Below are 12,098 nucleotides of genomic sequence, written 5' to 3' on the forward strand. Positions count from 1 at the left end.
GACCAGATGTGGTGGCTCATGCCTGTAATCCCAGCACTCTGGGAGGCCAAGGCGGGCAGATCACAAGGTCAGGAGATGGAGACCATTCTGGCCAACATGGTAAAACCCTGTCTCTACTAAAAACACAAAAATTAGCTGGACGTGATGGCACATGCCTGTAATCCCAGCTACTCAGGAGGCTGAGGCAGGAGAATTGCTTGAACCAGGGAGTCGGAGGTTGCAGTGAGCCGAGATCCGTGCCACTGCACTCCAGCCTGGCAACAGAGTGAGACTCTGTGTCAAAAAAATAAAAGTAAAAGAAGAATGTAAACTGGGACTGACTTTTTGAGAGAATTTGACAGCATGAAATTTTTACCTACAAAAATGTTGGTGAAGCATGATGGCTCATGCCAGTAATCCCAGTATTTTGGGAGGCCGAAGTGGGTGGATCACCTGAGGTCAGGAGTTTGAGATCAGCCTGACCAACATGGTGAAACCCCATCTCTACTAAAAATACAAAATTAGCCAGGCGTCGTGGCACATGCCTGGAATCCCAGCTACTTGGGAGGCTGAGGCAGTAGAATCACCTGAACCCAGGAGGCGGAGGTTGCAGTGAGCTGGGATCACGCCATTGCCCTCTGGCCTAGGCAACAAAAGTGAAACTCCATCTCAAATAAATAAACTTAAATGTAGACTACCCAATTCCAATTCTTATAGAAACCTAGCCTGCAAAAATACTTGCAAATAAAAAATGTTCCCTGAAAATTTATTTGTAATAGAGAAAAATTAGAAATAAACTGAACTGTCCTTAATAGCAGAATTGGTAAATAAATTATGGTAAATTCATACTATAAAACAGGGGTCCCCAACCCCCAGGACACAGACCAATACTGATCCACAGCCTGTTAGGAACTGAGCTGCACAGCAGGAGGTGAGCTGCAGACAAGGGAGCATTACTGTCTGAGTCCCGCTCCTGTTAGATCAGCAGTGGCATTAGATTCTCATAGGAGCACGGACCCTACATATGAGGGATCTAAACTGCAGTCTCCTTATGTGAATCTAATGCCTGTTGATCTGAGGTAGAATGGTTTCCACCTCACCCCTGGTCTGTGGAAAAATTTTCTTCTAGGAAGACAGTAAACCAACCAGTACCTGGTGCCAAAAGGGCTGAGGACTGTTGCTATAGAATACTAACACAGTGACGTATATCTATATATCCTAAAAAGGAAAAGTGCATCACAGAATAGTACAGCTATCAATAAATATTTGTTGAATGAATGAATATAAACAGGCCCATTTATTTAAAAGGAGAGAGGCATAATATCTCTGTGTCTAAATAAATATACAAAGGTCTGAGACCGGGCACAGTGGCTCATGCCTATAACCCCAGCACTTGGGAGGCTGAGATCGGAGGATAGCTTGAGCTCAGGAGTTCAAGGCAACATGGCGAAACCCTGTCTCTCCAAAAAAAAAAAACAATTAGCCAGGCGTGGTGGTGCAGGCCTGAGGTCCCAGCTACTCAGGAGGCTGAGGTGGGAGAATTGTTTGAGTCTGGGTGGTTGAGGCTGCAGTGAGCCAACATTGCACTACTGCACTCCAGCCTGGGCAAAAGAGTAAGACCCTGTCTCAGAAAAAAAAAAAAAAAAAAACCCCACACACACAAGGTCTGGAATGTTGCATGCCAAACTGTTCAGTGTGATTATCTCTGAAGAAAGGCATGGGATTGGGATGGAGGGCAGGGATCTAGGAGAAGAAAAGGGTTGAAGGAGACTTTTTTATTTTTTACTCTTTGCAGTTTATCTGAAGAGTTAACAACCAATATATATTCATGCATTACTTGTATGTTAATACATGCATTTCTCATATGAATACAATTTTTAAATTTTTTTTTTTTTTTTGAGACGGAGTCTTACTCTGTCGCCCAGGCTGGAGTGCAGTGGCGCAATCTTGGCTCATTGCAATCTCTGCCTCCTGGGCTCTAGTGATTCTCCTGCCTTGGCCTCCCGAGTAGCTGGGATTACAGGCGCCCACCACCACACCCAGCTATTTTGCATTTTTAGTAGAGACGGGGTTTCACCATGTTGGCCAGGCTAGTCTCGAACTCCCGACCTCAGGTGATCCACCCACCTCGGTCTCCCAAAATGCTGGGATTACAGGCATGAGCCACTATGCCCAGCCAATTTTTAATTTTGTATCTTCTTTTTTTTTTTTTTAAGAGAAGGAGTCTTACTATGCTACCCAGACTACAGTGTAGTTGCTATTGCCGGGCCTGTTCATAGCACACTACAGCCTCAAACTCCTGCGCTCAAGCAATTCTTCTGCCTCAGCCTCTTGAGTAGCTAAGACTATAGACATATGCCAACTTGCCTGGCTCAATTTTTAATTTTAAAGCAAAAAAGAACTATGAAAATGAAAAATATATACATATTAAAGGATTAGATCTCAAAGGTTTTAATCTATAAAGGTACCAACTAAAGTACAATCCCCAAAACAGGATTAACTGCTTTGTTTACAATGCAAAAACTACTGGGTACTATTTTAGGATCTTACATTCATTGTCTAATCGATCCTTACAAAAACCATTCTTCACCAGAAGATAGCTTCTAGATCCCTTCCCACTCCCGTCATCCTCCTCTAAATATCTGTTAATCCCCCTCCTAAAGAACCCAAAATAGGCCAGGCGCGGTGGCTCACATCTGTAATCCCAGCACTATAGGAGCCTGAGGCAGGTGGATCACAAAGTCAGGAGATCCAGACCATCCTGGCCAACATGGTGAAATCCCGTCTCTACTAAAAATACAAAAATTAGCCGGGCTTGGTAGCGTGCGCCTGTAGTCCCAGGAGGAGGTGAAGGTTGCAGTGAGCCGAGATGGCACCACTGCACTACAGCCTGGGCGACTGAGCAAGACTCCGTCTCAAAAAAAAAAAAAAAACATAGTCCAGGCGCGGTGGCTCACACCTGTAATCTCACCACTTTGGAAGGCCGAGGCAAGCGGATCACGGGGTCAGCAGATCGAGACCATCCTGGCTAACACGGTGAAACCCCGTCTCTACTAACAATACAAAAAATTAGCTGGGCGTGGTGGCAGGCGCCTGTAGTCCCAGCTACTCAGGAGGCCGAGGCAGGAGAATGGCGTGAACCCCGGGGCGGAGCTTGCAGTGAGCCGAGATCATGCCACTGCACTACAGCCTGGGGCGACAGAGTGAGACTCCATCTCAAAATAAATAAATAAATAAATAATAAAGCACAACACTCCAGGTGTGGTCTGATCAAGAACTATATACAGTGAAACTAACAATTCCCATCATCTAGGCTCTTTACAATGAATACACCTAAAATTTCTTTATATCATCATCTATTTGTGAAATGCTGTTTTTGCACTTCCCGGAATTTCATTTCCAAAGCTCTTCTTAAAGTTTCAAAGAAAATCGCCAGGTGCGGTGGCTCACGCCTGTAATCCCAGCACTTTGGGAGGCCGAGGCAGGCAGATCACCTGAGGTTGGGAGTTCAAGACCAGCCTGACCAACATGGAGAAACCCCGTCTCTACCAAAAATACAAAATTAGCCAGGCGTGGTGGCACATGCCGGTAATCCCAGCTACTAGGGAGGCTGAGGCAGGAGAATCACTTGAACCTGGAAGGCAGAGGTTGCGGTGAGCCGACATCACGCCATCACACTCCAGCCTGGGCAACAAGAGCAAAACTCCGTCTAAAAAAAAAAAAACAAAAAACAAAACAAGACTGGGCGTGGTGGCTCACGCTTGTAATCCCAGCACTTTGGGAGGCCGAGGTGGGCAGATCACGAGGTCAGGAGATCGAGACCACAGTGAAACCCTGTCTCTACTAAAAATATAAAAAATTAGCCGGGCTTGGTGGCGGGCGCCTGTAATCCCAGCTACTCAGAGAGGCTGAGGCAGGAGAATGGCATGAACCTGGGAGGCGGAGCTTGCAGTGAGCTGAGATCGCACCACTGCACTCCAGCCTGGGGGACAGAGCGAGACCTCGTCTCAAAAAAAAAAAAAAAAAAAACCAACCCAATTCTATAAAATTTTCTCAAAAGATTTTATAAAAGGTTCCATTTTCTTTTTCATCACAACAACAAGAGTCACAAAACATGGTACTTAGCCATAGGAAAAAAACATTATTTGAGTTACATATGTCAAGCATACTACATAACTAGTAATTATAAATAGTATAAAATTTTTATGTCTTTTTGCTTGTAGTACTATTTTTTTCTATCTTTCTTTCTTTCTCTCTCTTTGAGACTGGGTCTCACTGTCTCCCAGGCTGGTAGAGCCTTGTCCACCCAGGCTCAAGTGATTCTCTCACCTCAGCCTCCCCAGTAGCTAGGACCACAGGTGTGCACCACCACACTCAGCTAGCATTTTTTTTTTAATTGTTTGTAGACATGAGGTCTCACTATGTTGCCCAGGCTGGTCTCAAACGTCTGGGCTCAAGCAATCCTCCCACCTCATCCTCCCAAAATGCTCGCATTACAGGTATGAGCCACCTCGCCCAGCCCAGTACTATTTCTCAGTTAAAACAGGATGTTGACTTGTAAAATGAGAACAAGCTCCTAGCAGAGTGGCAAGCATGCAACTGGTGCTCAATAAATGTAAATTCCTTCCCTTCAGAGCTCCTAGCCTTGGTAAGGACAATGTGTCAAAAGGACTGCTAATGAATTGCTGCGGGAGAGCTACTGTGCTGTGAAGTATAAAAATTTACTTTGGAATAAGCTTACTTATTTTTGAAAATATTTCAGTAATTTAAAAAATATCGAGCCAGGTGCAGTGGCTCATGCCTGTAATCCCAGCACTTTGGGAAGCCAAGGCAGGCAGGTCACTTGAGTCTAGGAGTTCAACACCAGCCTGGGCAACATGGCAAAACCCTATCTCTACAAAAAATACAAAAATTAGCCAGGTGTGGTGGCAAGCACCTGTAGTCCTAGCTACTCGGGAGGCTGAGGTAGGAGGATCACTTGAGCCCAGGAGTTTGAGGCTGCAGTGGGCTATCATCATGCCACTGTACTGCAGCCTGAACGATAAAGTGAGACCCTGTCTCAAAAAATAAATAAACAGGCCAGGTGCAGTGGCTCACGCCTGTAATCACAACACTTTGGGAGGCCGAACTGGGTGGATCACTTGAGGTCAGGCATTCAAGACCAGCCTGGCCAACATGGTGAAACCCTGTCTCTACTAAAAATACAAAAATTAGTCAAGTGTGGGGGTATGTGCACCTGCAATCCCAGCTACTTGGGAGGCTGAGGCAGGAGAATCACTTGAACTTGGGAGGCGGAGGTTGCAGTGAGCCGAGATCACGCCACTGCACTCCAGCCTAGGCAACAGAGCGAGACCCCATCTCAAATAATAACAATAATAATAAATAAATAAATAAATAAATATTGGAAAGTTCACTGAGATCAATTATGTTAAACATACTATATGAAGAAACTCCTACTTGTGATAATATTCATCTGAAGCCATTTAAACAGGAGAAGTTCAGGTGGGTAATGAGTGATGAGCATTTACTATGTATTAACAACATGCTACAAACTGGGATACAATGATCGAGCTATTACAGTGAATAAGACTATAGAACACAAAAGAAAGGTTTTAAGGGAGTGTGTGGTATAAATCCTTTTTTTTTTTCTTTTTGAGGTGGAATCTCGCTTTGTCGCCCAGGCTGGAGTGCAGTGGCATGCATGATCTTGGCTCACTGCAACCTCTGCCTCCTGTGTTCAAGCAATTCTCCTACCTCAGCCTCCCAAATAGCTGGGATTACAGGCACACGCCACCATGCCCAGTTAATTTTTATATTTTTGATAAAGACAGGGTTTCACCATGTTGCCCAGGCTGGTCTCAAACTCCTGACCTCACGTGATCCGCCCGCTTTGGCCTCCCAAAGTGCTGGGATTACTGGCACAAGCCACCACGCCCAGCCGGTATAAACCCTTTTTTAAGGATATCTTTTCACTTGAACAGAAACAAACTCAACATAGAGAAAAATTAGTTGAAATATGCAAGCTTTGGCTATTCGGTGTAATAGTCTCAAAACTGAAGTATCCTCAGGTGTGGGCCAGCATTGGATTTGGAGTCTGAAGACCTGGGTTCAAGTCTTCTGTTCAAAAATAATATACAGGGTCAGGCACGGTGGCTCAAGCTTGTAATCCCAACATTGCGAGCCCAAGGCGGGTGGATCACCTGAGGCTAGGAGTTCGAGACCAGCCTAGCCAACATGGTGAAACCCCATCTCTACTAAAAATACAAAAAGTAGCCGGGCGTGGTGGCAGGCACCTGTAATCCCAGCTACTTGGGAGGCTGAGGCAGGAGAATCGCTTGAACCCAGGAGGCAGAGGCTGCAGTGAGCCGAGATCATGCCACTGAACTCCAGCCTGGATGACAGAGTGAGACTCCGTCTCAAAAAAAAAAAAAAAAAAAAAAGGTAATCAACAGATGCCTTCCAAAGTGCTTTCAACTCAAAGCCCATTCTCAGACTAAAACAATAGCAAGCATCACCATTTTACAGAATGAGAAATCAGTCAATGTTAAGCTTAGCAGCTCTTACAAGAATGCAATCAGTAGCAAAAGAAAGCTTAAATACAGGTAATCTGATTTTTCAGCTTACTGATCTACTAAGGAAAACTGCACATCTTTTCATAACTAAAGCGTTTCTGAAACTGCAGCATACATTAAGCATTTCATATGCCGCCCATTAAATAACTAATATATTCTATTTCACAAACAGGAAAAGAGGTTGAACACCATTATGTAAGTAGTAACATAGGATAGTACCCCTGTTCTCTTATGACACATTCTTAACAGTACTGGTTTTTAAGGCGAGGGAGAAAAGAACCAGGAAGTGGACCAGTGGGAGATAAACACAGGTTAAAATCCCGTCCAAAAAAAAAAAAAAATTTACATCTTCATAATGGCATCCAAATTCAAGTGTTTGGGTTTTGGCTTTTTTACCTAACAATATACTGTTGTGACTTGACTTTTCCATTACCGTGTAATAATGTTTCTTTCCTATTGGAAGCAATCTCTCCTAATCTCCCAAACCTAAAGTAGAATTATTCATTTCATCTTCTTCCTAAATGAGACCTCGACAATATGCCATATAAAGGAAAATGGGCTCTTAGGCGTTTCTCCTTCTTAGTAAAATGCCAATGCAACATATGCCAACACTGGAGACAAAAAAATTCTACTTGAATTTACTGTGAAAAAAAGATTTATAGCATTTTTTAAACCTACATGTTCATTTCTGTGCCATTAACTTTTTGAGGCATTCTACAGAGTCTCCAACAAAGAGAGAAATAAGTATTAGGATCACAACCTACGAATCTGGGTGGAACAAAGACTTCTCCTTTCATTATGCAGAGAAAACCAAGTTGCCAAAAAAAAAAAACGGTCCCCTCAGATACCATGCACGGTTACTAACTGCACGTCTGGGTACAGAGAAGGAAAAATCATCTGGTCAAAAGCCCAAATGCCGCCCCGGCCTACCCTCGCCCCCCGCCCCCGCCCCCTTTGCCCATGGCCTCGCCCCAGAGCTAGAGTTCCAATATTTTTCTCCCCAATAAAGGGAAGCGGTTTAACCCTTTGAGTTCCACAACCTTGCGTTCTTCTACGCAGGCGCCCCTCCAGCGCAATCCCAGTTCTAAATCGAGTCGCTGCCCCTTTCCGCGACCACACCCAGATCCCCAAAGGCCTGCTCCCATCCCGACCATTGATGTGAGAAAGGCCAAAACCGGCCCCAGCGGGGCTCCCAGCCCCGCCGCTCCCTCTCTTCCTCCGGGCCAAGGCGTGCCCAGAAAGGGACGCGAGCGCGCCCCTCAGTTCTCGCACGGGCTCGACCAAGGGGCGAGGAAGGAAGAATCGGCGCAGCGGCGAGATGGGCACGAACCTCGCGCTCACTTGCTGCTCAGTGCCAGGGCGAGGGGCGTCGCTCTGCCCCCAGAATCCAACTGGTAATGTGGGAAAGGTGTGGTCCAGGACCGGTGACCTCGAACCGGGGCCCAGCAGTTCGCAGATCCTCACCCCGCGATGCTGGGGCCTCACCCACGACCCCAGCCCCCTCCCAGTCGGCACCCAAGCCCACTAAAGACCCCTCTCCGGGGCCGCAAACACAGTCCTCGGGGCCGCCCGGTCGGAGCCGTGTCAGGTGGTGACAGGAGGCGACGGGTGACCATGGCAACCCGAGGTGTGCAGCGGACCGACCCAGCCTCCGACTCCCGGAGTCACCCACCTGAGGGCTCCAGGGCAAGCCCGGAGGAGCGGCGGAGGAGAACGCGGCTGGGAGGCCGGCGGCCAGGGCCCCGAAGCGGCCGGCTCCGGGCTGCGGCAGGAGCACGACGGCGGCGGTCTGGGTTTGGCGTCGGTCCTCCCTCCTACCGCCCGCGCGTCAATCCATCAGTTCGTCAATCCGTCCTTCTCACGTCCGCCCCTCCCGGCCCAGCGACTCCTCAGCTCAGCCTCTTGCAGACTGCGGTTGTCAAGTGCCGGGGAGCCGAGCTCTACCCGCGAGCGGCAGCCAATCGCCGCGCTTCCCCGAGGCGCCTCAGGACCCCGCCGCGCGGGGCGGCCAGGCAGGTGCCTGAGCCGAAGGGCGAGTCGGCGGGGCGGGGCGGGGCGGGGAGGGGCGTGGAGGGGCGGGCCCAAAGCTGGGGCGGGGAGGGGCGGGGCGGACCAAAGCCTGGGCGGGGCGGACCAAAGCCTGGGCGGGGCGGGCGGGGGTCGGGCTTGGAGGGACCGGCTAGGGGCCCGGGGGAGTAGCAGAACGGGTGCGGCAATAGCGTGAGACTGGTGGCAGGGACGTAGACCCTTAGCTGGCCGGTGACCCCATGTCCCAAAATAGCACGAACAGGATTGTCGCCTGCAAATGGAGAAGACTGCGCATTAGGATTGACTCTTCATACTCCTCCCCGATAATTAATAAAGGTTAATGAAATTAATGTTGCCTTCTACCCTTCTTTCGCTGCTTTCCTAGGTCCCACTTCGTCCCAGAAAACTCCAGTAGTTTGTTTGTCCCCTTCCTGGTTTCTCATTTTGCAAAGCTGATCTGCCTTGAAAGCATTTTTCAGTTACTTAACATTTAATATGTTCAGGTTTTGTCTACTCCTGTTGGTTGTAAGCCCCTTATTCCACAAATATACGTGATGTTCAACCGAGCTTAATTAAGCATCCAGGAAGTATAACCATAAGGAAGAATACAATTACACAAACCTGTAAGAACATCATTCTCGGCCAGGCGCGGTGGCTCACGCCTGCAATTCCAGCACTTTAGGAGGCCGAGGCGGGCGGATCACCTGAGGTCAGGAGTTTGAGACCAGCCTGGCCAACATGGTGAAACCCCGTCTCTACTAAAAATACAAAAATTAGCCGGGTGTGCTGGCAAGCCTCCTGTAATCACAGCTACTTGGTAGGCTGAGGCAGGAGAATCGCTTCAACCTGGGAGACGGAGGTTGCAGTGAGCCGAGATCATGCCACTGCACTCCGGCCTGGGTGACAGAGCGAGAGACTCCGTCTCACAGAAAAAAGAACATCATCCTCACAGAGGCGAAAGTCCAGAGTGAGCTGGACCTCCCAAAAGGGGAAAATGGGGTAACAGTCTGGTAAAGAGAATAAACATCAAAAATATTTCTGGCACTCCCATGCTTATTGCAGTACTATTCACAATAGCCAAAATATAGAATCAACCTATGTCAATCAACAGACAAATGGATAAAGAAAATGTGGTACATATACACAATGCAATCTTTTTTTTTTTTTTTTTTTTTTGAGACGGAGTCTCGCTCTGTCGCCCAGGCTGGAGTGCAGTGGCGCCATCTCGACTCACTGCAAACTCCGCCTCCCGGGTTCACGCCATTCTCCTGCCTCAGCCTCCCGCGTAGCTGGGACTACAGGCGCCCGCCACCAGGTCCGGCTAATTTTTTTTTTTTTTTTTGTATTTTTATTAGAAACGGGGTTTCACCGTGTTAGCCAGGATGGTCTTGATCTCCTGACCTCGTGATCCACCCGCCTCGGCCTCCCAAAGTGCTGGGATTACAGGCGTGAGCCACCGCGCCCGGCCACACAATACAATCTTATTCACCCATTAAGAAAGAATGAAATCCTGTCATTTGCAGCAACATGGATGGGACGGGAGGACATTATGTTAAGTGAAACAAGACAAGCACAAAAAGACAAATATTGCACGTTCTCACACATATGTGGGAACTAAAAGAATTGATCTCGTGGAGGTAGTGAATAGAATGGTGGTTACCAGAGGCTAGAAAGTGTAGTGGAGGGCAAAGGGGGGATAAAGAGGTTAATGGGTACAAAAATACAGTTATGTAGCAGGAATAAATTCTAGTGCTCAATAGCATAATTGGGTGACTATAGTTAACAATAATCTATTCTATATTTCCAAACAGCTAGAAGAGAAGATTCAGAATGTTCCCAACACAAAGAAATAGTAAATGGCAGGCCAAGCGTGGTGGCTTATGCCTGTAATCTCAGCACTTTGGGAGGCCGAGGCGGGCAGATCACGAGGTCAAGAGGTCAAGAGATCGAGACCATCCTGGCCAACATGGTGAAACCCTGTCTCTACTAAAAATACAAAAATTAGCCGAGTGTGGTGGTGTGCGCCTGTAGTCCCAGCTACTCGGGAGTCTGAGGCAGGAGAATCACTTGAACCCGGGAGGCGGAGGTTGCAGTGAGCCGAGATTGGGCCACTGCACTCCAGCCTGGTGACAGAGCGAGACCGCGTCTCAAAAAAAAAGAAAAGAAATAATAAATGGGTGGGCACAGTGGCTCATGCCTGAAATCCCAGCACTTTGGGAGGCTTAGGCCAGAGGCTCACATGAGGCCATGAGTTAGAGACTAGCCTAGGCAACATAGTGAGACTCCCTCTCTACAAAAACAAGAATAAAAAATTAGACACGGTGAGACACACCTGCAGTCCTAGCTACTTGAGAGGCTGAAGTGAGAAGATAGTTTGAGCTCAAAGTCCGAGGCTACCATGAGCTATAATCACACTACTGCACTCCAGCCTGGGTGACTGAGTAAGACCCTGTGTCTTAATAATAATAATGCATTTCTAAGGTGATGGATATCCCAATTACCCAGATTTGATCATTACACATTGTATTTACTCCAGAAATATCTACAACTATTATGTAACTATAAAAATTAAAAATAAACAAAATTTAAACCATATTTCTGGGAATACAAAATCTTGTCCAGTTCAAGATAAAAGAAGCGAGAGCTTGAAGATACACATTTCTTTTTTTTCTTTTCTTTTCTTTTTTTCCTTTTTTTTTTTTTTTTTTTGAGATGGGGTCTCACTGTGTCGCCCAGGCTGGAGTGCAGTGGTGCGATCTTGGCACTCTGAACCTCCTCCTCCTGGGTTCAAGCGACTCTCCTGCATCAGCCCCCAGAGTAGCTGGGACTACAGCATACACCACCATGCCCAGCTAGTTTTTGTATTTTTAGTAGAGACAGGGTTTCACCATGTTGGTCAGGCTGGTCTCGACCTCGTGATCCGCCTGCCTGCCTTGGCCTCCCAAAGTCCTGGGGATTACAGGCATAAGCCACTGTGCCTGGCTTTCTTTTTTTTTTGAGACGGAGTCACTCTGTCACCCAGGCTGGAGTACATGGCGCAATCTCAGCTCACTGCAACCTCTGCCTCCTGGGTTCAAGCAATTCTGCCTCAGCCCCCTGAGTAGCTGAGATTACAGGCAGGTGCCACCACACTCAGCTAATTTGTGTGCCACCACACTCGGCTAATTTTTGTATTTTTAGTAGAGACGAAGTTTCACCATGTTGGCCAGGCTGGTCTCAAACCCCTGACCTCAAGTGATCCTCCCGCCATGGCCTCCCAAAGTGCTGGGATTACAGGCATGAGCTACTGCACCCAGCCGAGGAAACATTTCTAAGAAAAATACTTATGCATTCAGAGAAAACAACACACAAAAGCTGAACTACAAAATTTCAATTGCCTAGTCAGTAACTCCTGGAAGAAAGTCTTCATTATGAACCCTCTTAATGATAAGTGACAGGCAAATAAATATAAACATAATTGAATGTTACCCAGGATCTTGATATTGAAAACAAAACAAGCAAACAAACAACACATTACAG

The 12,098-nt window shown here is 47.2% G+C and overlaps 1 protein-coding gene across 14 annotated transcripts in view, besides 1 other annotated feature; it reads right to left on the minus strand.

The window, feature by feature from the left end:
* The window catches only part of WDR47 (WD repeat domain 47), a 71,889-nt gene extending 63,425 nt beyond the window's left edge, over nucleotides 1-8,464 (minus strand). For 8 of the 14 annotated variants that reach the window (NM_001142551.2, XM_011541028.4, NM_014969.6 and 5 more), the window contains exon 1: nucleotides 8,224-8,464. The gene's annotated coding sequence lies outside the window, so the exon portion shown is untranslated. Of the gene's footprint in view, nucleotides 1-7,229; nucleotides 7,288-7,311; nucleotides 7,335-7,881 lie in introns of those variants that run through there. The other 6 variants (XM_017000697.3, XM_047449522.1, XM_011541030.2 and 3 more) reach the window with 6 other exon arrangements.
* Nucleotides 8,112-8,661: a silencer, noted in NCBI's record as "silent region_1141". NCBI's record gives its function as "represses an Ori minimal core promoter by ATAC-STARR-seq in GM12878 lymphoblastoid cells {active_cell/tissue: GM12878}" and the evidence as "EXISTENCE:reporter gene assay evidence [ECO:0000049][PMID:35858748]".

The sequence above is a fragment of the Homo sapiens genome, chromosome 1 (genome assembly GCF_000001405.40).
Source record: "Homo sapiens chromosome 1, GRCh38.p14 Primary Assembly".
NCBI lineage: Eukaryota > Metazoa > Chordata > Mammalia > Primates > Hominidae > Homo > Homo sapiens.